The sequence below is a fragment of the Homo sapiens genome, chromosome 6 (genome assembly GCF_000001405.40).
Source record: "Homo sapiens chromosome 6, GRCh38.p14 Primary Assembly".
NCBI lineage: Eukaryota > Metazoa > Chordata > Mammalia > Primates > Hominidae > Homo > Homo sapiens.
The window spans coordinates 102,203,212-102,229,290 of NC_000006.12; the positions used below are offsets into that span (position 1 = coordinate 102,203,212).

The following is a 26,079-nucleotide window of genomic DNA, read 5'->3' on the forward strand; positions in this document are numbered from 1 at the left end:
AAAAGAAGACTTTGGGGGACTGTTGGGAAGGCATGATTGGTTTTGAAATGTGAGGACATGAGATTTGAGAGGGGACAGGTTTGGAATGATATGGTTTGTCAATGTCCCCACCCAAATCTCATCGTGAATTGTAGCTCCCATAAACCTCTTGTGTTTTGGGAGGGACCTGGTGGGAGATAAATGAATCATGGGGGTTGTTTCCCCCATACTGTTTTGGTGTAGTAAATAAGTTTCACAAGATCTAATGGTTTTATAAGGAAAAACCCCTTTTGCTTGGCTCTCTCATTCTCTCTTGCCTGCTGCCATGTATGATGCCACCATGCCTTCTGCCATGACTGTGAGGCCTCCCCAGCTACACGGAACTGTGAATCCATTAAACCTCTTTTTCTTTATAAATTACCCAGTTTCGAGTAATTATTAGCAGTGTGAAGATGAACTAATACAATAATCATAGGTAAATACATAATCACAGAGTTAAGGTGGATTACATCCTTTTTGTACTTTTGTTAGAAACAAAAATATGCATAAATATCTGTATCACTTGGTTTTAATTTCACATAAATCACTTTAAACTTGGGGACTTAAAGGTACGTAAGCTGATGATTTTCCTAGGGATTATTCAGGTGCAGGTGATCTAGGCTAGTATCTTTCATCTGGCTAATTGTTGAAGGCTTTACTCACATGTCTTGCAGTTGGTTGGCTGTGGGTTGTGGCATAGACATGACTAGGACCACTTGTTCCTCATATCCAGCTAGTTAGTCCATACCTCTTATAGAGCATCAGCATTCCATGAGCAGCAAGAGAGGATAATCTGCAAGACACAATCGTTTTTTAAATACTTACCTCTCATTCACTGATGTCCCATTGGAAAGCAAATCACAGGACAGGGCACAGAGTCAGATTGAGAGTGCCCTTAAAGTTCCATAACAAGGGTGATGGTTACAAAGATAGGAATAATTGCTGGCATTTTGTAATTATTCTTCACAAAATCTTTCTGTCTATGATAACTTCTTTTATGTTACAGAACATTTTACAGCCCAAAACACATTTATCCCTTTTCCTTATTTTGTTCTTTCCTTCTTTAAGGTATTTTGTGACTGTTCATTTACATTTGAATTTCTATATACACCCCATCTTGTATATATTATAATTAGTGTTGGTGTATGTTGTTAAATTTCCTTACTGTTTACCTACCTGCTATTTTAGGGCTCTCCTCAGATCATATGCTGGAAGCCTTGTTGATCTAAATTTACATTTCCTGTATAGCAATTTAGCAAAGTGACTCAAACAGCAAGGGAACCATAGCTCTGGGCAATTCTAACAGAGGAATTTCATTTCTGCATAGTTTACTTTCTGTGTTGATGAGGTGGTTGCCCTGGGAGCAAGGACGCTGCATTTAGCTTTATGATTGACCTCGCTTTCTTGCCAGCTATCCTTGTATCTGTTTCATAGCTAAACTCAATTGCCTTTCTGGAGCATCAGGGAAAACCCCAACCACTTTGTCAGGCATTGGATAATCCGTTTTCCTCTCTATTCAGATGCTTTTGAATCTGTGTAGTGATAATAATTTCAATTATCATATTCTCTGTCAGGTCTGTGGTCTACTCATGTTTTGAGGCGTGGATAAATTAGGAAAAGTTAGTGTGATCCTGCCAAGATATCCCATGCTTCCCTGGATGCCACATTGCTTCCATAGAAAATGCAGTTACAAGATGACCTTATGTTTCTATCTCCATGCCAATCCTATCTGCACCATGGCAGAAAATATTAGAACACCTGCTTGAATTAGGTTCTCTTGTTTTATATTTGATCTCTACATGCTCTCAGCCATACCCATGAGTTTATCACCTGTAGTCAAAATAATTATAAATGATTATATTAATTAAATACACTTTCTATTAATGAAGACCTGGCAACTTGGCATTTCTTTCTATGTGTGTTAAAACCATCACTATATGTTTATACCTAGAATGATATATGTTGTAGATCCTCTATTGGATTGGTACAAAAGTGATTGCAGTTTTTGACATTAAAAGTAACGGCAAAAATGGCAATTATTTTTGCACCAACCTAATATCTGTACATTTTTTTTCATTTTCATGCTTATATAACAGTAGATGGGACAAGGTACCAGATTTCTTCCTTTGAATATCAGTTCTATTTCACAAATCAGAAGCCTAGAAGTTGAGTACATTCTAAACCCTGGCCTCTCTTCCTTAATGCTTCAAGGCATAGGTAAGCCATGGCAATATTCTATTGATCAGTATGTTCTAAATATTTTTAAACCCTGGCTGATTTCTTCATGTTCATCACCACAATCCAAATATATATTCTGTCTCTGCTATACTATATCAACAGTTTCTTAACTGCTTTACTTGAATTTCATTTATTTTAAATCCTACATTTAAAAATTATTTTAGTTAGATTTGGTAAAAACTGTTAGTAAATTTTGCTTAAGTGACTTTAATTTTTAACAAATATGTGGTATGCTTTGCTAAATACTGTAGGTTGCTGGTCATAACACCTTTAATTTGATTCTGGTTCTAACCCATGGTCCACATTTTCCTTTAATTTTTGGCATGGACATCACGAAAACTTAATACTATTTTTTGATCTCCCTGCTTTTGTCTTTGCTCCTGTTCAATTCATTCCCAACACTTCAGCTACGGGCTTCTTGTTAAATGTAATCCAGTTCATGTTAATCCTCTATTCAAAACTCTCTACTGATTGCAAATTATTCTGAGTAAAACATCAAATTCTCCACCACCAAATACAGGGATGTGCATGGTTGGCTCCTGTCTGAACGCATCTCCTGTTGCTTCTGTCTTGTATCGTCTGCTCCAGCCACACTGTCTTCTTTGCTGTTTCTTGAACACATCAGGCATGCTCCTGCTTCAAAGGCTTTTCACCCACTCTTCCCTCTGCCTGGAACATTGAACCCCAAGACATGGTCTCTCCCTCATTGTCTGTCTTCAGGCTTTAGTCAGCTACCTTTACTCAGTGCTCAAAATTTTTGGCCATTTTAATTTACCTATGGACTTCATAAGAATATTAGATTGATTTCTTTTGTTTACTGTTAGATCTTTTGTTAAGGTTACTAAATTAAGAAGTGTGATAGTTATCTAAAATACATCAATTTTTTAAATTATAAATATCAAATGTTTTTCTGTAATTCTGAAATATTAGAAGATTTTCTATGAATACCTTTTAAAATGGCAATACCTTTTATTTTATTAAAGTTTTTAGCCTGTAAAATGTCACACAGATATGTGTTTCTCTGTAAAACCCAACCAAATTTTCTTAGAGTCAACCTTTACCTTCCTTAAGCTCCATTTAATAGAATCTCATCATTTTAACTTCATGCCCTCTTGCACAGATTACTATGTTTCTTAACCAGAAATAAAAACTCTAAAACTTTCTTCAATCGTTCACTTCATTGTAGTCAAATACAAGATCAAAATGCATTTTATTTGAAAAGGATATAACACATTCTTAATACATATTAAATTTATAAGCTTAAAAATTGCTTTGTACAGATATAGAGGTTAGGAAATGAAAACTTAAAGTTTTGCTCTGATATAAACAATTATATAATTAGTATTAATTAGATTCTATACTGAAGCAAATATATATTTTCCAATATCATAAAAAAGCCATTTGCAATTTTATATTCACATATTTTTATGAAAGACCATATGTAATAGATATATAAATTATTTTTAACATGTGAAAATTTATACTAGTCTATTATTATCAAAATTCCAGCAAATCTGAAAGTTCTATGAAATATATAAAGCTTAAGTGACAGTTTTTACTTAGCTAATTTTACTTTATCATCAATCTTTGATACAGATATTAAAACTGGTTTGTTCTGAATAATGAACACTAATGCCAAGAAAAGTAAAGACATGTACAATGCCAGAAACTAAAGTAAATGAAAAGAGATTTTTATCCTAGAATATAATAGCTTGTATTTTTTATTTTTGATCTTTAAAACAAAATCTCAAAAATAATTTATGGTTTTATTTCTTGGCTTTGGGCAAGACTGCATACAGAAATGACCTTCTGTTTTGCTCTGTATTCACTGTAGATTTTCTAGAATATCCGCTGTTTACTTTGATATGTTTTTCTTCAGATTTTTTTTTTTAGGGAGTGGGAAGTAAACCAGGATTTTTCAATATCTTTCTTATAATCATCTTTTATTTTCTTTGATTTTTTTTCTCTTTACAAAAGAAAACAAAAGAGAAAAATTGTTTTTACTTTCTTTCTATATATATCATTTCTAAGTTGGCATTTTATTTTTAAGGTAGGAATATATAATGTTACATCCAGTTCAATTTAAGCTCTTTGGCACCTTGGTTCTGATGCAAGAAATTAAGTGTGGTGAATATAAAAGCTAGAACATGGAAAAATTTCCAAGTGAAGAAAATGACATAAGTAAAGGCAAAACTGTGAGAAATTTTGGACAGATTTGGGCATCCTTAACTGAGCTGCCTTGTATGAATCGAAGAGGAAAAGCATAAGCATAGACTTGCATGTTAGGATCATGTGAAAAGCCCTGAATGTCACGTTAAACTTTATAGCAAACAACAAAATAAAATGTTTTCAAGAAGCAGGGATGGGAAAAAAGTATGCGTAGGTTATGTAAAATATTCTAAAGAGTGTGAATGTGGCATTGCAAAAGTGAGTGGGTGCTTTCTCAGTGTATGAAGGGAAAAGCAGCATAGCAATGCATGGACAAAGACTCAGCTTTCTCTTACACACACACACACACACATATTAACACACTGTAAGTTTTTCAATATACCCATGTTCAAATATAGATAGAAGAATGTGTTATCATGGCTGGTTAATTTAGCTAAAGGAGAAATTGATTGGAGTTCAACTGTTACTGCAATAATGTTCATAGCAAACGGCATCAAAATCTCATTGGCTGGCAACAAACAAAATTAGTATTTTCTCACTCACATGTTGGCCAGAAGCAGGGATGACATTTAGATACAGATGTACCTCAAATGTCTCCTTTATCTCTTTGACTAACACCTTCCTAGTACATGCATTCTCACAGCAAATGGCAGAACCATTATAGGTGCAAATGAGAACAGGCAATAGCTATTAAGTGTTCAGCTTGGTACTAATCATTTTCTTTCTTCTACACACCTTCCATTGGCCCAAACAAATCATATGGATACCTGATATTGTTTGACTTTGTCCCCCCCCCAAATCTCATCTTGAATTGTAACTGCCACAATTCCCACGTGGTGTGGGAGGAACCCAGAGGGAGGTGATTGAAGTATAGGGGCGGGTCTTTCCTGCACTGTTCTCTTGATAGTGAATGAGTCTGATGAGATCTGATAGTTTTACAAATGGGAGTTTCCCTGCACAAGATCTCTTTTTGCCTGCTGCCATCCATGGAAGACATGACTTGATCCTTCTTGCCTTCCACCATGATTGTGAGGTCTCCCAGGCAATGTGGAACTGTACTTCCATTAAATATCCTTCTCTTCCCAGTCTCATGTATGTCTTGGTCAGCAGCATGGAAAGGGACTAATACAGTACATTGGTACCAGTAGAGTGGGGCACTGCTGAAAAGATATCCGAAAATGTGGAAGCGACTTGAACTGGGTAACAGGCAGAGGTTGAAACAGTTTGGAGGGCTCAGAAGAAAACAGGAAAATGTGTGAAATTTTGGAACTCCCTAGAGACTTGTTGAATGGCTTTGACAAGAATGCTGATTGTGATATGAACAATAAGGTTCAGGCTGAGGTGGTCTCAGATGGAGATGAGGAACTTGTTGGAAATCGGAGTAAAGGTGGCTCTTGTTATGTTTTAATGAAGAGATTGGCAGCATTTTGCCCTGCCCTCGAGATTTGTGGAACTTTGAACTTCAGAGAGGTGACTTAGAGTATCTGATGGAAGAAAGTTCTAAGCAGCAAAGCGTTCAAGAGGTGACTTGGGTGCTGTTAAAGGCATTCAGTTTGAAAAGGGAAACAGAGCATAAAAGTTCAGAAAATTTGCAGCCTGATAATGAGATAGAAAAGGAAATCCCACTTTCTGAGGAGAAATCCAAGCCTGCACAGAAATTTGCATAAGTAACAGGGAGCCAAATGTTAATCCTAAATACAATGAGGAAAATATCTCCAGGGCATGTCAGGGGTCTTCACAGCAGCCCCTCACGTCACAGAACCAGAGGCCTAGGAGGAAAAAGTGGTTTCACTGGCCAGGCCCAGGGCCCCTGTGCTGTGTGCAGTCTAGGACTTGGTGCTCTGTGCTCAAGCTGATCCAGACTTGACTAAAAGGGGCCAAGGTAAAGCTTAGGCCATGACTTCAGAGGATGCAAGCTGCAAGCCTTGGAAGCTTCCATGTGGTGTTGAGCCTGTGAGTGCACAGAAGTCAAGAATTAGTGTTTGGAAACCTCTGTCTAGATTTCAGAGGATGTATGGAAATGCCTAGATGTCCAGGCAGAAGTTTGCTGGGGTGGCAGGCACTCATGGAGAGCCTCTGTTAGGGCAGTGCAGAAGGGAAATGTGGGGTCAGAGTCCCCACACAGAGTCCCTACTGGGGCACTTCCTAGTGAAGCTGTCAGAAGAGGGCCACTTTCCTCTAGATCCCAGAATGGTAGATCCATTGACAACTTGTACCGTGCACCTGCAAAAGCAAAGACACTCAATGGCAGCCCATAAAAGCAGCCAAGAAGGAAGCTGTACCCTGCACAGCCACAGGGGTTGTGCTGCTCAAGACCATGGGAACCCACTTCTTTCATCAGCATGACCTGGATGTGAGATATAGAGTCAAAGGAGATCATTTTGGAGCTTTAAGATTTGACTGCCCCACTGGATTTTGAACTTGCATGGGGCCTTTAGCCCCTTTGTTTTAGCCAATTTCTCCCATTTGGAATAGCTGTATTTATCCAATGCCTGTAACCCTATTATATCCAGGAAATAACTAACCTGCTTTTGATTTTACAGGCTCATAGGCTGAAGGGACTTGCCTTGTCTCAGATGAGACATTGGACTGTGAACTTTTGAGTTAATGCTGAAATGAGTTAAGACTTTGGGGGACTGTTGCAAAGGCATGATTGGTTTTGAAATGTGAGGACATGAGATTTGGGAGGGGGCAGGAGTGGAATGATACGGTTTGGTTGCATCCCCACACAAATCTCATCTTGAATTGTAACTCCCACAATTCCCAGGTTTTGTGGGAGGATCCCAGTGGGAGGTGATTGCATTATGGGGGCAGGTCTTTCCTGCACTGTTCTCATAATAGTGAATGAGTCTCATGAGATCTGGTGGTTTTATAAACACGAGTTTCTCTGCACAAGCTCTCTTTTTGCCTGCCACCATCCATGTAAGACATGACCTGCTCCTCCTTGCCTTCCACCATGATTGTGAGGCATCCCCAGCCATGTGAAACTGTAAGTTCATTGAACCTCTTTTTCTTCCCAGTCTGTGGTATGTCTTTATCGGCATTGTGAAAAGGGATTAATACAATAACCAACTGCAATGGGTGAAAATTATATTATAGGCCCAGTTAACTGTGATAGTTAATGTTGAGAAAGGGTGGAAGAACTGTAACAAAATTAAATAATCTTTCACAGTCTGTTAGAGGCCCATTTTGTTAATGGTGAAGCATATTCTACATATCAAGTTTACAAGTCAACACTGTTTACAAGCCAGAACCTAAGTAAAATTATTAGGGCCCTTCTCCTACCAATATTTGATCCTAAATTTCTGTCTTTCTAGTTTCTGCCACAGAAATTCATTTATACACTTGCAAAAAAATTTAAAAACCTTCGTATGTGATTTGACTAATATATATTTCCTTTTATTCTGTTATAAAAGACTGAAGCTTAAGAAACAAATATTTAGCTCTTAAATTTAAGGAGTTATTATTTTATTTATTAATGAGGGCAACTGAAAATTTATTATATTGGTTGTAATCTATTCCACATGCTTGCATGCCAACCCTGATGTAATACGTTGTGTCAGTGGTTTCCAAATGGTGGTAACTAAACAAAAGGGAGTTTTTAAAAATATCTTTAAGAATATTTTAAGTGGTCATTATGGCCATGCTTAATACATGTATGCTTTCTCACTTCATTTTCAAGTTATGTACTAAAATGTCAAATAATTTGAGATTACAGAGAAACATGTATTAAAAAATGTAAAAACTATTTTTCTTGACTTTTTTCTACTTAATATATATTAGTACCATACTTTATAAACAACTTAGAATGTATTATAGTTTCTATCCAAAAATATATTGTCTTTTTTAACACATACATAGTAAAAATAAATGTAATTTGTCTCCTTCTTCTAGATTAATTTTCCTTTAAACCTTAAATTACATGTTTTTAAAGCTATGCAAATTAAAAATAAAAGAAAACCACTAAAATATCCCAAAGGTAAATTACAATATAACTGAATACATAGATCATCTGGCCCTTGTCAATGTCATGTGAGATCAAAGAATAGACTGAAAAGTTTCTCAGAGTCAACTTAAAATAAATGTCTCTGTGGCCTAATAATCAAAGCACAGTAAAAAATGTATATATATCATATATTATATATATAATGTAATTTCAGACATTGTGATGGTTAATTTTACTCATCAACTTGACTGTCTATAGGGTGCTGAGATTAAACGTTATTTCTGGGTATTTCTGTGACAGTGTTCTTGGAGGAGATTGGCATTTGAATCTTTAGGTTGAGTAAAGCAGATTGTACTCCCCAGTGTGAGTAGGCACCATCCAATCCCTTGAAAGCTAAATAGAACAAAGGTGGAAAAAGGAAGAAGTCACTTCTCTTTCCCTGTCTCAGTGACTGAGCTAGAACATCTCATCCCAGCTCCTCTGGCCCTTGGACTGAATTTTACACTGTGGACTGCCCTGGTTCTCAGACCCTCAGATTCAGGTGTAAGGAATTATACCATCAGCTTTCTTAAATCTCCACCTTACAGACAGCATATCTTGGGACCTCTCAACTTCCACAAGTATGTGAGCCAATTCCTCACAATAACATATATATATATTAGAATTATCTCACATAATATTCTGTATATAATATATATAATTGGGCCAGGCATGGTGGCTCATGCCTGTAATTTCAGCACTTTGAGAGTCTGAGGTGGGCAGATCACTTGAGGTCAGGAGTTAGAGACCAGCCTGGCCAACATGGTGAAATCTCGTATCTACTAAAAATACAGAAATTAGCCAGGTGTGGTGGCATGGGCCTGTAGTCCCAGTTACCTGGGAGACTGAGGTGGGAGAATTGCTTGAACCCAGGAAGCAGAGGCCTCAGTAAGCCGAGACTGTGCGAAGACACTTCAACCTTGGAGACAGAGCAAGACTCCATCAAAAAAAGAAAAACAACAACAACAACAACAACAACAACAAAACCTATGTATCTATTTCTCTATAACTGAATTATATATAATTTGTGTGTGTGTGTGTGTGTGTGTTTGTGTGTGTATCTCCTACTGTTTCTATTTCTCTAAAGATCCCTGACTAATGCAATATTCATCATTATAAAAATTTTAAAATCATTTTGAACACAGCACAGAAAAATTTTACAATGATATAATAATTTTCTGTTACTTTATTGTCTTTTTAGAGTAGTTTTAGGTTCACAGCAAAATTCAAAGGAAGGTATGGAGATTTCTCATATGCTCCTTTGTCCCTACCCATGCATAGCTTCTTCCATTATTAAAATACCCAACCAGAGCCACCAGAGTGCCACATTTGTTATAATTGATTAACCTACACTGCTGTATTATAATCACCCACAATCCATGGTTTACATTATGGCTCACTATTGCTACTGTACCTTCTATTGGTTTGAACAAATGCACAATGACATGCATCCACTACTCTAGTATCATAGGATATTTTCGCTGCCTTAAAATTCCTCTGTGCTCTGCATATTCATTCTTCCATCCTACCCAGCCCCTGGCAAGCGATCACTGATATTTTTACTTTCTGTATCATTTTGGCTTTAACAGAATGCTGTAATATACCTTGATTTATTTATCCATGATAATTTTTTTAAATGTCATATTTCCTTATGGCTGAACATATGAATAATTCTTTTTCTGAACATATATGTGATATTTAAACTTTAGAGTTTACTATCTGTAAGTATGCTAGATGTAAATAACTACTACTATATAAATATGGCTGTATAAATAAAACTAGTAAACCTCAGCAATCTTGAAATTCTAATAGCTACTCCTAAATCAGTGAAAACAAAACTTACTCTGAATGTTTATAAGATTTCACAACAATATGTTAGCGGAAATAATAAAAACACAAATTCTCAAATTGGCACCAAAAATAGTGACCACAGGGAGCCTACAGTTTTACATGCTCATCTTGGTTTGCTCAAAAATTATGTGCAAAAAATCAAGAACAAATATAAAATACTGTCATGCATTGCCTAATGGCATTTTGGTCAACAATGAACCACATATAAGAAAATGGTCCTGAAAGATTGTAATATATTTTTACTGAAACTTTTAAATTTTTAAATGCACAATATTTACCATTGTGTTACAACTGCCTGCAGTATTCAGTAGAGTAACATGTTGTACAGGGTTGTAGGAGCAATAGGCTATATCATATAGCCTAGGTGTATGGTAGACTGCATCATCTAGGTTTGTGTAAGTAAACTCCTTGATATTCACACAATGATGAAATTGCCTAACAACACATTTCTCAGAACATATTTCTGTCATTAAGCAGTGCTTGACTGCAATGGGGCAATTTATTTTTTTGAATGGTCTGTCACTCTGTTGTCCAGGCTGGGGTACACTGGTGCAATCATGGCTCACTGCCTCTCCAGGCTCTGGTGATTCTCCTGCCTCAGTTTCTGTATTTTATTTATATGTTTACTTTTTCAGTAGAGGTGGGGTTTCATCATGTTGCCCAGGTCAGTCTCAAACTCCTGGCCTAAAGCAATCCACTCGCCTTGGCCTCTCAAAATGCTAGGATTACAGGTGTGAGTCATTGCACTCGGCTGAAAAAGTTTTTAAATCATGTATTTCTCAAAATCTTAAAATTATTTCAAAAAATATTTACTCATTCCTAAATTATCATATAACCTGAGGAGTTCTGTTGCAGTGAAAGAACACATATTTTAATAAATTCAATAAAGATAAAAGTAAAGTATAAATTCATATTAATCATAATTATTCTTCACTTATATTTGTTTGCATTTATGAGAGGTTTATAAGCCAGAATGAATATTTTTTATTGCATTCCCCCAAATTTAATTTTGAAACATCTGATTCTACTAATTTATATTACTCATTTTATTTATTTGTGGTGTCACCTTGGGCTCATTAGTTTTAGAAGAAAAGCAATTTTTAAAAAGTCATTTGCTAAATAAATATTGGTATTGATAAACCTTTTTGTTGTTTCTGTTTTTACAAAAGAGCAGCCAAATAATTTTCAAAAATGCCCATCGTTAAGGAAATTGATACAAATTTGTTTAAAACAATAATAAATATAAGTAATAACATTTTTAAGTAAATTAAACCAACAGCTTAAAGTATGACTGATTGTAGTTAACACTTATGCTATTTAATAATAGACAGTAGGAGTCAATTAAAAACTTCTGTTAAGCATATTTTTCTTTTTATTGCATAATGTTCATTCTACTTTCACTATCCATTTTTGGAACATGCCTTTTAAAACTTGAAATCAGCAGCATTACTTTTTCTGCCAGTTTTATACGCTTTTATGCGGTACCTACAGAAAATTTACGTATTTTTTATTACAACTAAAACAAGTTTAATACTGCTAAAACTTGTCAAAGTCAACTTACATATTCTTAAATAGTGTGATTTAAAATATTTTAGAGGTTTAAATTGAAATATAGGAAAGCTAATTTGAATCTTTAAATTGAAGTTTTTTTCTTTCAAAACTAAAAGTTGTCTCTGGATAAAAAAAATCAAATTGACAAATATGATCATGCTTCTGCTATGTAGCAGATCCTTGAGCAGTTCACTGTGAAGGTAAAGACATTTTGTACCTTCCATGTTTGCAATTTTTATCTTAATGTTAATAGTTTACCGCCAATATCCAGTGACTTACTGTTGCATGTTGGTACATGAAGTTTCTAATAGTTTCCTGCATTGGGTCAGTCCAATTTCCAATTAAAGTGGGTGATGGAATGCTAATATTTGCTGTCACTTCACACCAGGTGTGTTAAATGTATGCTAGATAAAAAAAAAAAATGTTAAGGAACAACTCACAATTCATTTTGCTCCTATTCATGAGGTTGGGGGACACACTTGAGATAGAAAGAAGGCAGGTGATCCCGGTCTAATCGCCTAGTGAGCACACTAATAACTGACCTTCTGGCAAACTAATAACATATGCCAGCAAGAGTCTTTATATGAGCCTAGAAAATATGCTCCTGTAAACATCTTGAATGTCAGATGTCCCTGATCTAAGATTGCTTACTATAAATAAATCTGGAATCTTTGGATTGCTAGGGGATGGCTCTCTGGAAAATGCCACACGATTTATTTATTTATCTGAATAATAAATGGAGATAGTTCATGACTGAATTGGCTTCAGATTGTGTCAGTAAGGAGACCACACACTTCCTTAACTTTAGACCTCAACTTTCAACTTGGCCAAGAGGGTGTATCCAGTGTGTGTAGAAAGGCACGTAGAAAATCCTCACCTCTTGTTTCATCTATGCCTCTTAAAAGCTTGTTTACTTGAAATTATTAAGAAAGCTTGAAACAGTAAAGTCTCTGATTTGTGTGTCTCATTTGACAACTTGATATTTTATGCTAACTCATTTGCTTAAGTGTTTGGTGGGATTGTGATGCAACTTTTCTAATGATGAAAATTGTACACAAAAAGAGACTTGCTTCCTTGTCAACTTCTGGCTGAAGTAGAGAATACATTATTTATTTCTAAAAAATTACTAAACATTTCTGACTTTTCTGGAGTTTTTCTCTGTCTTCAGATGGCTTTAGAAAATTTCCAGTTTACAGAACATTTTGGAATTATAGTTATATCTGTGATTTAGGTAATAAAATAAATCGCTTTTTTTGGTTTAACTAAAATGTACCATGCGACATTTGGCTTAAAAATCCATTTGTGAATTTATATGCTCAATGAAAAATTAATTAGGCTGAGATGAGTTTTCTCTAGGTATATTTGTTCTTGTTGGTTTTTATTCTTATTTTAATTTCAGTCTAAGGGCAGTGCCTCTGCTGGTAAAACTGTGAATAGTTAACATGCTTAGTGAATGTGATCTCTAGTTTTAAGTGCCCCTCACAGATGAGCAAACTTGGCATCTGTCTCCCCTTCACTGTTTTTGCAACCACTTGGATTTTCCTCTTCCCTGAAGCACTTTTTTTGAATATTTATTTATATAATCATTCCCATGTGAAAAGGAAAACTTCCATGTATTCTACGTGCTTGAATCTCATACCTACATACCAAAATGAGAAAACTAAATATCAAATATCTTTATAAATTATTATCAATCAACTAGAAATATGCAGTATGGTATAGGAAGAGATGAATATTCATGAAAAATAGAATATGTGGCATGTAGTACAAGATATGCCAGTATTTTAAGAAATAACTGCAACCCATGATTTCAGGGAGATATTTTGTTAGATAAACGACAGGATAGGAATCAACTTTTTAAATCAATTGTTTTAAGCTACCAACTTAGGAAGAAGACTCAACTATATAAATAAAAAATAAAAGATCAAAATGACAGCAGTAATTTGTACTCTTTTGGGCCAATAGATCAGATGTTGTGACTATAAGAAGCCATTCAATAGACCTCATATGCCCCATACAATGCCATGAAAGTTAGATCATTGTTCAAATCCAAATATTTCAATATTATTTTGAAATTATAAGAGACATTTTAAGAAAGCATAACTGGTAAAATTTTTATTTCCCTCAAAGGGTTATCAAGTATATTTTGACTTTGTAATCAGTACTCTGAAAGATTATTTTTGTAACTCTTTCTCTTTGTGATGAGCCAGATGGTGGCATCATTTTCATTCAAATTGTAGCTTTGAACTTTATTATCTAAATATTTTGGTTATTTGTGTCACAATAGATTCTGAGTGGTGTTTTTATGGCAGATTTTAGTTTACACAAATTTATAAAATGTCAACTCTGATTTGGCATCTTGCTAAGAGATGGGGATAAAATGATGAATGTTGCCTGCCCTTACAAAACTTTTATTTTGCTGAGAGAGCAAAACTTTCAAATAAACAATTAAAATTATTATTTTATATGTTTTTCTAGAAATATGTAGAAACAAAACTGGTACCAGGTACAGTGATTATCTTCATCTATTAACATTTCTATTCAGAAAGCAATATAAAACACAAAGGAAAAAGTGACATCTAACTTGGCTTCTAAGGAAACACCTAAGGAATAGGTATTTACTGAGCAGAGGAAAAGGATATTTGGGGCAGAACCGGAAGTTGGTGTAAAGCCATAGAGGAAAACTATAATGCTGGGTTATGACTTTGCATGTAGAAGAATATTATGGAAAATAACAACGAAAACTGAGAATGTAGTACCGAGTCAACAGACTTCAAATATATGGTCAGAGAACATACACATAATGACTGGAGGTATGAGACTGGATCATCGGTAAGAGTGTGGCTCTTCTGTAAACGATTTAATTTTGGGTTAAGGTCAAGGGATAAAGCAAGAACGGATGTTAGGTTCTGGGAGAGGGACCCAGCCCTTGGGCTGTGGGGCTATTTAAACTGCATAATTAAAAATCACCATCCCCTCCAAGGTAAAATTCTATAGCACTCTGATGGGCAGAATGTTAGTGCAAGACCTAATTTCCCAGATCAGCATCCGTGGTTAGAGAAATACGTGTGGAGAAGCAACATGGTGTGATCAGAAGGCTGGGTTCTCAGACATGTGATTGCATCAGTACAACTTACTGGGCCGGTGTCTCAGTCCTTCATCTCAGCCTCATACAAGGTTGGCTGCCTGAGAGCTCAGCAGTTGTTGGTTTCCATGGAGGTTTGGAAGAGACCTAACTTCAGCGACCTCATCACAGGAAAATTGACTCTTATTTATCTAAAGTGTTTACAACACATTCTTGCATAAAATCACATCTGAAAATATTTATTGTTTTTTGTAAATATTTCCAGTTGGTTTGTGGTAGTTGGCATTTAAATTTAGTCCTGCTTGACTTTTCAGCACACATTTCTAAATAGTATACTATGATGACCTTGGGATCATTCAGTGTATATTCATTCATGTTTGGGAAGAATAAGGTGATCCTTCATTCCAGACAGTTTGGGAAAAATAAGGTGATTTTTTTTAATATTTCCTTTCCATTTTCTGAAGTAGTAGAAATGACTGCAGTAAGAAACAAAAGAAAGGGATTATATTGCATTGTTTGCAATAAATGAATGGAAGAATCAAACACAATGCATTTGCTAAATAGGTAGTGTTGAACAAAAGTAATATTCAAAATCATAGACTATAAAATATGTTGAATATATCCAAATATGTTCTTGAAATTTGGGGGCTAAATTTTGAAGAAAGAGAATAAAGACTAAATGTTATGGTCATTTTTTAAAATCTTGGAGTTTGTAGCTGAGGCACTTCATGCAATTTGAGAGACATTTTCAGTTCAAAATCAATCTAGGCATTACTTCCCCATCAAAATTCCAAGAGCATTACAATTATTTTATTAAGGCAAAGGAAGAGATGAGAGAGTACACACAGAATCTTAGCAGGAACACAGGATGGACTCTATTCCTAGGCTTTGGTACTCAGAATATGTTGGAGGCTGTAGGGGCTTTACAATCTGCATAATTGAAAATAGAGATAGCTAACATATTGGAAATACATTTTACAGAAACCTTTAAGTAAGCTTATGTTTCTCTCTTTCTTTGTCATCAAAGGAAATAGTGCCATGTGGACTGGAGTGGAACAAGATTCTCACAGAACAGAAATTTTAAATGAATCACAACCTCTGACTAAAAGAGTGGAATAAATAAAAAGATGGAATCCAGTAGAACCCTCAAGTTTCAGGACTTGGTAACTGAGTATATACTTATGACACTAGCCAAGATAAGAAATGGATAGTAAGAACATGTTCATTTTATGATATGATTGGTTCCATTTGTGGTATTTTGAGGTAATTCAGATGATTAATAAAAATGCAGTACAATGGAGACATTTAGTTGTATCATAATACAACTAAATCCAAAGCTAGGCAAAGGCTCAAGACTAAACTGTCCAATTAGCAGAATATTAAGATGACAAAGAAGTAACTTAAGCCCTAGCCAATTCTGTGAGGAGCATGAAAATCCAAGAAAGACATAGTTTTTCATTTTAGAAAAACACAACATGCTGAAATGTATAAATACATTTTAGATTATTAAATTCTTATTATTGTTAAATATTCTTGATTTTTTACTCCTTTCTATAATTTTCATCTATAATTTTATCCCTATATATTCTAAAATGTAATGAATCCAAGCATTACACTTCATCTATACTAACGACTTCCTCTATAATGACTTAGCTGAGCTAACTATTTCAAGTTTCTGAAATATTTTGAACTTATTGGTTGATATCTGTTTACTTGATTCATGTATGAATCTCCAAATATATCTAAAAAATTGAAACTGTATAGAGATAAAAAATTTAAGTCTACACACTCATGAAATAAGTATTTGGTATATTTTGATACAAATTTGATTTTAATATGAGTATGATATATAATCGGTATTTATTCAATATATAGGCATATACTATGTATATCTATTCAATATGTAGGCATATGTTATGTACTGGATCAATGCATACAAAAATAGACAAAACTAACACACGCTGTAATGCTGTTACTAACATTAAATCTTAGACTAAGTGATTTAAAAAATACAAACAGGAAGCCAACATAATTCTTAGTATTGTAGATAATTCTACATTCCAGTTTCTTTTTTTGGGTGGGGGTGGCTATTTATTTCATTGTCTTGACTTTTCTCATTTACATCCCTGACAACACTGGCTTTTGTCATTTCTCTGCTGGTTTATTGCATTTACCTATGACTATCTGCCCTAACTTCAGTCTTTTCTTGGCTTAGAAATATTGTCTACTTAACTGAAGAAGAAATTACCCAAAACAAAAATCTGACCATGTAATTATTAACTCTAAATCATTGATAGTGTTCCATTTACTCAGACAGGGAAAGGAGTTAACATTTGGAAAGTAACTGCTATGTGGGAGAAATACAGAGGAGTCTTGCATGATTCACTAAGCTTCATTAACTCAGTTAGCCGAAATTATCACGGAAAAGCAAATATAAACAACAGACAAGCATGGAAATAGAAATACCTGTAAGTAAAATACATTTTGTGCATGTGGAAACCAGGTGTTTGGATTGCTTCATACTAGAAAAACAAAAGCAAAACCAATGAATTCAAAGATGACTCAAATATTAAAATCACAGGAACTCTGGTAAATTGTATTAATCTATCCCAGGATAATCTTCCCACTTTTTGCTTTGTATTATATCTCTTCTCTTTCCTCAGGATTTTACATCATAGATTATTTATTCTCACTCTTGTATATTTACCTCTTTTCCCTCCCAATGGATAATTATCCTTTAAGTTAAATTCATTTATTCAATTCATTCACATTCTTTCAATGAAGCTGAATGTATAGATAGATAAATGGATAGATAGATATGTACATACATATGTAGATATACAGATCTCCCACTTGACAACTCATGGTCCCGGAGTTATTGCACTTTGTCTGTTTTCTTTCACAACCAAGTATTGAAGATTTTATCCATAATGTTGTACTAATTCTCCAATCTCTCATTAACTCTTCAAACCACTCCCTTCTTGCTTTCACCATAACACTCTTCTGAAAATGGGAAATCTCACTATTTTTTCAAATACTTGTTACTGCACACAATTGATTATTTCATCTGCCTTTGCTTCTTTTTTTGAGATGGAGTCTTGCTCTGTCGCCCAGGCTGGAGTGCAGTGGCGCGATCTCAGTTCACTGCAACTTCTGCCTCTTTGGTTCAAGCAATTCTCCTGTCTCAGCTTCCCTAGTAGCTGGGATTACAGGTGTCTGCCACCACGCCCGACTAATTTTTGTATTTTTAGCAGAGACAGGGTTTCACTATGTTGGCCAGGCTGGTCTCGAACTCCTGACCTAAAGTGATCCCCCCGCCTCGGTCACCCAAAGTGCTGGGATTACAGGCATGAGCCACTGCACCCGGCCTGCCTTTGCTTCTTAACAGCATTCAGACCTGTTCACCATTTCCCATATTTTGAAGTGTTTTATGTCCTTGAGTTTAATAATGCAAACTCCTTGGTCTTCCACATTACTTGTCTGGTCATTATTTCTCTTCTGTTTAAAGATAGCATTCTGCAAGTAGCAGCTCTATTCGTTACTCTTCCTCTAACACCTTTATTTACCCCTTTCTGCAGGAAAATCACAAATTGAATTTTTACCTAGACCAGTGTACTCCCACAGAATTATCCACTAAGATGGAAATTTTTTATATTGGAACTGACTAAAACAGTAGCCATTAGCTACACTTGGCTATAGGGCACTTGACATGAAGCTAGTGAGATTGAAAAACTGAACTTTAAATTTTATTTTAATAACTACATGTCTACTGGCTACTGATTGGACCATACAGATGTAGACCTCCCAACAGTCTATTTGGCCTTACCTCTTGAATGTCTGCATACCACCTCTCGCTAAAGGAATCAGACTGAATTCATCTTCCTCCTATTCAAATTTGCATTTCTTCTAGATTCTACAACTTGTCTATTATGTAAATGGAAAATCCAGGAGTTATCAGACAATGCCCTCTTCAACTTTCCTGCGGACTTTCCCTTCAAAGGACATCTCAAATCAGATCACTTCCCTGGTATCTACCAGAAACCACTCAGTCTAACTACTATTTCTACCTGTTTTGCTTCATCAGCCTCTTATTATTATCTAATTTACCTAATTCATGTTTAAACACACCACAGTACTCTTGATGAAACACAAATCTGATGGCATTCATTGGCCCCACCCTCATTCCTGTCTATCCAATTTAAAAATTTCTGAGAGTTATATTTGTTTTAAAGTGCAGACAGAATTTCTTAAAATGGCCTACAATAGTCTTACATTTTGAGGGCCACGTGTACCTCACTGGCCTCTTTGCAAAGCACATTTACTCTTGTTCAACTTACAGACAATATTAAATATATAATTGTTCTTAATATTTGCAATACCTTTTATCAACTATAAAGCACTTTTTTTTTTTTACACCTATCTGGTTTAATGCTCACATTCTCCTAAGCTGCATCCATTCCAGCCACACAGGGTTTTTTTGTTTTGTTTTGTTTTTCTTTTTTTTTCATTTCATTGAACACACTATACTGCCTTCAACCACAGGGTCGTGGAACACATTTCCTTCTTTCTCACTGTATCCAACTTTTATCTAAGCATCTCTTTCTAATCTAGCTCCTTTTTTTATTATAAATGTTGCAAAAGCTAATAAAATTTAAGCTTCAGAGTCTCTCATTTGCATGGGCTGCTTCCAAGACTCTGTGCTTAGTTTGAATTATTTTTCTTAAAGTGGGCCCACAAATTTTGTAAGATTTTGGTATACTAAACTGGACTCAATGATGGCCACAAAATGCAACAATTTTGCTTCTTAATCTTTTAAAATATCTTATGATAATTGCCAACTGGGTGAATTCTTATAATGAATTGGGAGAAATCTCTATAATCTAGTATTTAATTTTTGTAAGATTGTCTGGAGCTTATTCTATGTACAAAGTCAGAAGAAGAAAATGAGTTTTTGAGAGGTTAAGACATTTTTCCATGGCAATCAACTAGTGATTTCCTAACTACAATCTAGTTCTTCTCCTACCTAGTAGAGGGCTCTCGCATGCTTTATACCTCAGAGAAGAAATGTTGAAAGTATTAGTATATTGTTATTTTGTTATAATATGCTTTTATCTTAAAAACTGCATTGCTAAAAGCTTTTGAAAAATAACACAAATAACAAAACAATGATTTAATAAATAAAATGTAATATGCATTCAATTGGCTGTTAAAATGTAATCATGTCTGTATTTTAATAGTAAGTTTATATATTATTTGAAATAAAAAAGAGAAAATTACTCACTGGTTATTCAAAGTAATATAATAATTTTATTCAGAGTATGTAAAAAATCAAATATATTTCGTCTATCTTGCTTAAAAAATCTTAAAAGCAGATTGTAAATTCAAAACAATAAAATTTGTTATCTTTTATTTCATTAGATTATGCATCTGCTAGAGTGCACTGGACCTTGAACAAAGTGGGTTTGAACTGTGCAGGTCCACTTATGCATGGATTTTTAAAAATAAACATACGGGAATAATTTTTGGAGATTTGTGACAACTTGAGAAAACTCACAGATGAACTGCGACCCTGGATATATCAAAAAATAAGAAACTGTTATGTATTTCATGTATGCAAAAATATATGTAGATATAAGTCTGTGGTATCATTTCCCACCACAAATTATACACAGATTTTAATAAAAATGTAACATTTATAAAAACTTAACACGCACAAACACAGACAGTACATGGTGCCATTTGCAGTGGAGAGAAATGTAAACAAATATAAAGATGCAGTATTAAATTACAACTGCATAAAATCAACCATAGTACATACTGTACTGCTGTAATAATTCCATAGCTGTTTCTCATTGCTATTGCAGTGAGCTTAAGTGTTGCGAGTATATGCTTAAAACACCGTGTGATGCTAATCATCTCTGCATGAGCAGTTCATTTCTCCAGTAAATTGCATATCACATATAAAGTGATCTCTCGTGGTTCTCACGTATTTTTCATTGTGTTTAGTGCAATACTGTAAACGTTGAGTAACATCACGGAACTCATGCAAAGTGCCACTAGTGATGCTGGAAGTGCTTCCAAGAAGCAGAGAAACGTCATGACATTACAAGAAAATTGCTTGATGTGTACCAGAGATTGAGGTCTGCAGCTGTGATTGCCTGCCATTTCAGGCAGACGATTCATCTTATAAAGAGATAAGGTAAAATTATGGTATCAATAAATACAGTAAAGTACTGTAAATACATTTTCTCTTTCTTATAATGTCTTAATAACATTTCTTTTCTTTAGCTTACCTTATTGTAAGAATATATATAATACATATAATGTACAAAATATGTATATAATACATATAACATACAAAATGTATGTTAAATGACTATGTTATCCATAAGGCTTCCAGTCAACATAAACTATTAGTAGAGATGTTGTTGGGAGCCAAAATTTATAAATGGATTTTCAACTGTGACAACAGTTGGAAGGGGATCTGCGCCCCTAAACCCTGCATTGTTAAGGATTAACTGCATTTAGAATGGCTCAATTAACTTTTTCATTGTGAAAACTGAGCACTATTTTTTACATTATAAGGAATGACTGACATATACTCTTCAAATGTAGGTTCTCTATGGAACGTTGAGGACACATTTGAAGAACCGATCAGCAATGAGCAAAGAAGTGGGTTTACTTATCCTTTTACTGGAGTAAAGTATTTAACATGAGAGGTATAGAGTAATAATTTGTTTAAATCCTTTTGTATTTATGGAAGATGTAAAAATGCACAATGATTTACAGGGAGAGGTTTTTGAAAGCATAAAGTCATACAAAAAATCTGATGAAATCTCTCCAAAGATTGCAATATTATTGGGGAGGGGGAAGGCCTTCGATTTTTGTTGTTTAAGAATCTGGCGACATTTTTTAAAGCTTGTCAATTTTTTAAAGCTGACACCAGATGTGTGGGGGTTTTGCCACACCAAGTGATTCTCCAATTCTTAGTGGACACTGATTGAGTATCCTACAGTCTAACTCAATTCTGACACTAACTTTATGGATTTAATGCCTATCCCACAGGTTAACGGTTCAGTCCCACAAGACTATCCCTGACCTCAGACACCAATTACAAGTCCAGATTGTCACTTGTGTGTCTAACAGACTGCCTGCAAATCAGGCATTCCTACAACCTCCTCCTAAAACTTTATAATATGCTAGAATGGCTCATGCAACTCAGGGGAACATATACTGACATTTACCAATTTATCACGAAGGATGGGATAAAGGATACAGATAAATAGTCATGAAAAGGTATGTAGATGGAGATCTAGGAGGGTTTCTATTGCAGGAGTTTCTGTCCCAGTGGAGTTGAGGTGCACAACCCTCCTGGCATGTGGATATGTTCACCAACCTGAAACAATTTTGTTCAGAGTATGAATTATGGAAGCTCTCCAAACCTTGTACTTCAGGTTTTTTTTTTTTTTTTGAGGCTTAATCACAGCGTAATCAATAATTAACTCAGTCTCCAGCTTTTCTCCAATTCCCAGAGTATTAAGTGGGCTGAAAATTCCGATCTTCAATAATTATGGCTGAATCCTTTTGGTGACCAGCCCCTATCCAGAAGCCCAACAAGAGTTGCTTCATTGGAAGAAAAAATGCTCCTATTACCCAGGAGGTTCCAAGGAGCTCTGTGTGTGAAACTGATGTCAAAGACTAAATATTTTTTAAAATACTATTTTAGCACCCCTATAACTCAAGAGATTAGGAGAGTTTTAGGAGCTCTGTGTTAGAAACTGGGGGCACATGGCTTATGCCTGTAATCTGAGCACTTTGGGATGCCTGAGATCAGGCATTTGACACCAGCCTGGCCAACACGGAGAAACCCAGTCTCTACTAAAAATACAAAAATTAGCCCAGCGTGGTGGCGAGCACCTGCAGTCTCAGCTACTCGGGAGGCTGAGGCAGGGAGAATTGCTTGAACCTGGCAGGCGGAGTTTGCACTGAGCCTACATCATGCCATTTCACTCCAGCCTGGGCAGCAGGGCGGGACTCTGTCTCAAAAAAAAAGGCAAGGAAAGAAACTGGGGGCACAAACATATATCATACAAACATTGCATTTACATATATAAGTGCATAAAATGAATAAGAATTTTCTAAAATTCTATACAGAGTTTACACCTCTGTTATTGGAAAATGATGCAAAGATTAAATACATAGCATAACAAATTGTTTTACCAGGTTCTAGATATTTCTTAATCTCAAATTAACATCTAAAATTAATTCAACTAGTCCACCCACTGTCAGCTTGGCATCCATATGCATCAAACTTAATTTTCAAGTAAAGACAATGACAAGTTACTAGTTCTATCTAACATATAACATGATGATGTTATGCTGTGATTGTGATTGTGGGGATTTCAGACATTAGCGATTTTTGACTTTAATGATTTAGACTTTAAAGATTTTGATATTTTGAGATTTTGACATTTGGTATTTTTGCATTCAGCACTGTATTTTTCAGGATTATGATTCAACCCCAAAAATTATTATAAAAATAAACATTTAAAGGAAAAATATAAAATAAAAGATAAGGTGTCATTCTTATTATGGGACCACTTACATGTTTACCTGTGAAAGCAAATAAAAGTTTTGTTTTCACAGACAATTATTTGATAAAATTTGATAAAATTACAATCACACAATTTTCTCATACTGCATAATAGTGAAACTATGCAACCTGTTCATGAGGAATTAGTGTAGGAATCTGTTTGGTACTGAAGAAATCACTCAAACTACTAGCAGGGAGAGAGAGATACAATGTAAGATATTTTTCCTCAAATGTTCACCTGGAAAAATCTTCTCATTACCTAGATGGTGAGACCTAAGCCCAAGAGTTTTAAGCGATGTGCCTAAAGACCACTGTTTTCTAGCTGCTTCTCCAAAGGTCATCTAGAGCACAGATTGCTTAAGGAATGGACAGTTCTAGTGCTCAGTAATATAGGGAGTTATTTAATCAATCACCATTATCTATCAAGATAAGATTAACCATTTTTGTATATTTAACCGAGGTATCAAATGAATAGCTTAGACTGATCTCCTATTTTGGTGGAGATAACTATTTTATAAGACTTTCTGTATATTTGGTAAATAGCACAGTGCTCGGTACACGGTTAATACACACTATTTTTTTCAATTAGCCTGAATACATCTCCTAAAATTCTAATGTTTGAATATCTATTTTAATAAAGTTATACATAATGCTTTTTAAATAAAAACTACATCTATTAACTTTGCAATAAGAAGGATTGGAATTGCAGTAAGAAGGATTTAAATAATTAACATACTCAATAACTTTCCCTATAATATACAATAGATTTATTTGAGGATAATGTGATTCCTTAAATTTCTATGTGATAATATATTTCAGAGTTTAAAATTGCATTCCACTCGAGAAATTTCAGAAACACAGTATACAACAATGCTTTACATAGTATGCTTGGAATAAGCCAAATTATAAGAAGTAAAACTATCTCAGAGTTAATATTAGGAACAAATTGGTAAAACATTAATGAAGCTTATAGCCATTGTGTTTTATGTATTGAAATCTAGGCACTGAGATGCGCAAATGCTTTCCCCCACTTAATTGAGAAAGGCACAAATAAGATGGGATTCCTCCAAGGTCAGTACTGAGAGAAGTAAAATATATGCAAGATAATCATATTGAATTTACACAATACAGAATAGGAAATACATATTCTTTGCCTGTTCAGATTTTCAAATTGCCTCCAGTTAAGGAATTTTTTTTCCCTGTGGCAGGAAAAACAACTTTTATTTAGCAAAAAGTAGATTTTTTTTTTTGTGAAGATAACTGAAATGTCAAGAAAATGATGAGAAGGAAATTGTTTGGAAAATTGCAAAAGATAACATAGGCATGAAAACTGAAAAAGTTCTTAAAATGTCGTAAAACTCTAAATTAATGCCGACGTGAGATTTTGCTAGTTTCATCACACTCTTTATATATACGAAACTTAATTCATTTTTGACTCACATTTTGAGCAGTTTCATAATTAATTTTTATTATTTTGTCCTCAGAGTATTTATGTAGTTATTTTGTCATTTAGTTTTATCATAATATATAAATTTTGAGTATATTTTAATAAAATCTTTATTTGAAGCTTGATTTGTTGAATTTCAAGCAATGTGGATGATAAATCTTGTTAGGGTTTTCATTTGGAGCACTTCTCTGGTTTGTTATGTTTGAGAAAAAGCGAATTCATATCCTTTGTGAAATATGATGAGAAAATTTTGAGAAATTATTTTTATTAAGAAGGTTAAGGATTCAAATTTTACATTCAAATTGCACAATTCTTCAGTCCTCATTCTGTCTAAATTGCTTTTAAGTAATACAAAATATTCAAAATAGTTTTTTAGGATATTAGTTTACATTCTTCAATAGATTAATAAATTGGTAAATCCTCAAGCGAGAACCACTTGTGCAAAAATAGTTTAAACTAAAATTTTATATTTGTTAATAAATAGGGCATTTTGGCAGCTTTTGAGCATTTTAGAAAATATAGATAAGTTTAACATTAAATTTTTCTCATAAGGTTTCCCATTCCTGATTTTGCCCGAATTTATTTTTCCAGTTTTTTTTTTTTAATTAAGATTAAAGCATAACACAAGTACAAGATTCTTGAGATTGGTAACCCTAAAATGTGTATTTTTTTGCTCAATATTCTGAATCCTCAGAGCAAGTTGGGCAGCCAGTAATTCCTGATGTCAGGCTGAATACCCATTACTTATTTATTGAAAACTTGCATTTGTGTGAACTTCACTTAAGTCCGTTTTAATGTAAATGATTGTTAAATAGAGTATTGTTTGTAAGGTACAGACAGTGTTTGTAAGATTTCATTTAACTTGATATTGTAAAATATGAAGAAATTTTCTAAGAATAACATTAGGTACTAAACTATCACAAACCTGATCCATGATTTTCAATAAACTTTTTTTTTTTAAATTCAGAATTACGGTTTATAAAGCACCAGGCACTCTCTTTGGAAAAGAAATTTTAAACTGTAAATGGTTAGAGAAATCAAAATCATTTACTATTTTCAGAAAACTCTTTCGAAGATTAGATTTTAAATTTAAATGGTAGTGATTTATTTTATTACTTCAATAAAAACTAGATCAGATAAAT

At 34.4% G+C, this 26,079-nt stretch overlaps 1 long non-coding RNA gene across 1 annotated transcript in view; it reads left to right on the forward strand.

The window, feature by feature from the left end:
* Nucleotides 1–22,155, forward strand: part of LOC105377913 (uncharacterized) — a 64,390-nt gene extending 42,235 nt beyond the window's left edge. Inside the window, exons 3-8 of the long non-coding RNA XR_942820.3 lie at nt 15,925–16,060; nt 17,211–17,365; nt 20,316–20,506; nt 20,904–21,096; nt 21,513–21,616; nt 21,963–22,155. This is a non-coding gene — a long non-coding RNA (uncharacterized LOC105377913). The remainder of the gene's footprint in view (nt 1–15,924; nt 16,061–17,210; nt 17,366–20,315; nt 20,507–20,903; nt 21,097–21,512; nt 21,617–21,962) is intronic.
* Nucleotides 22,156–26,079: the final 3,924 nt, after the last annotated feature.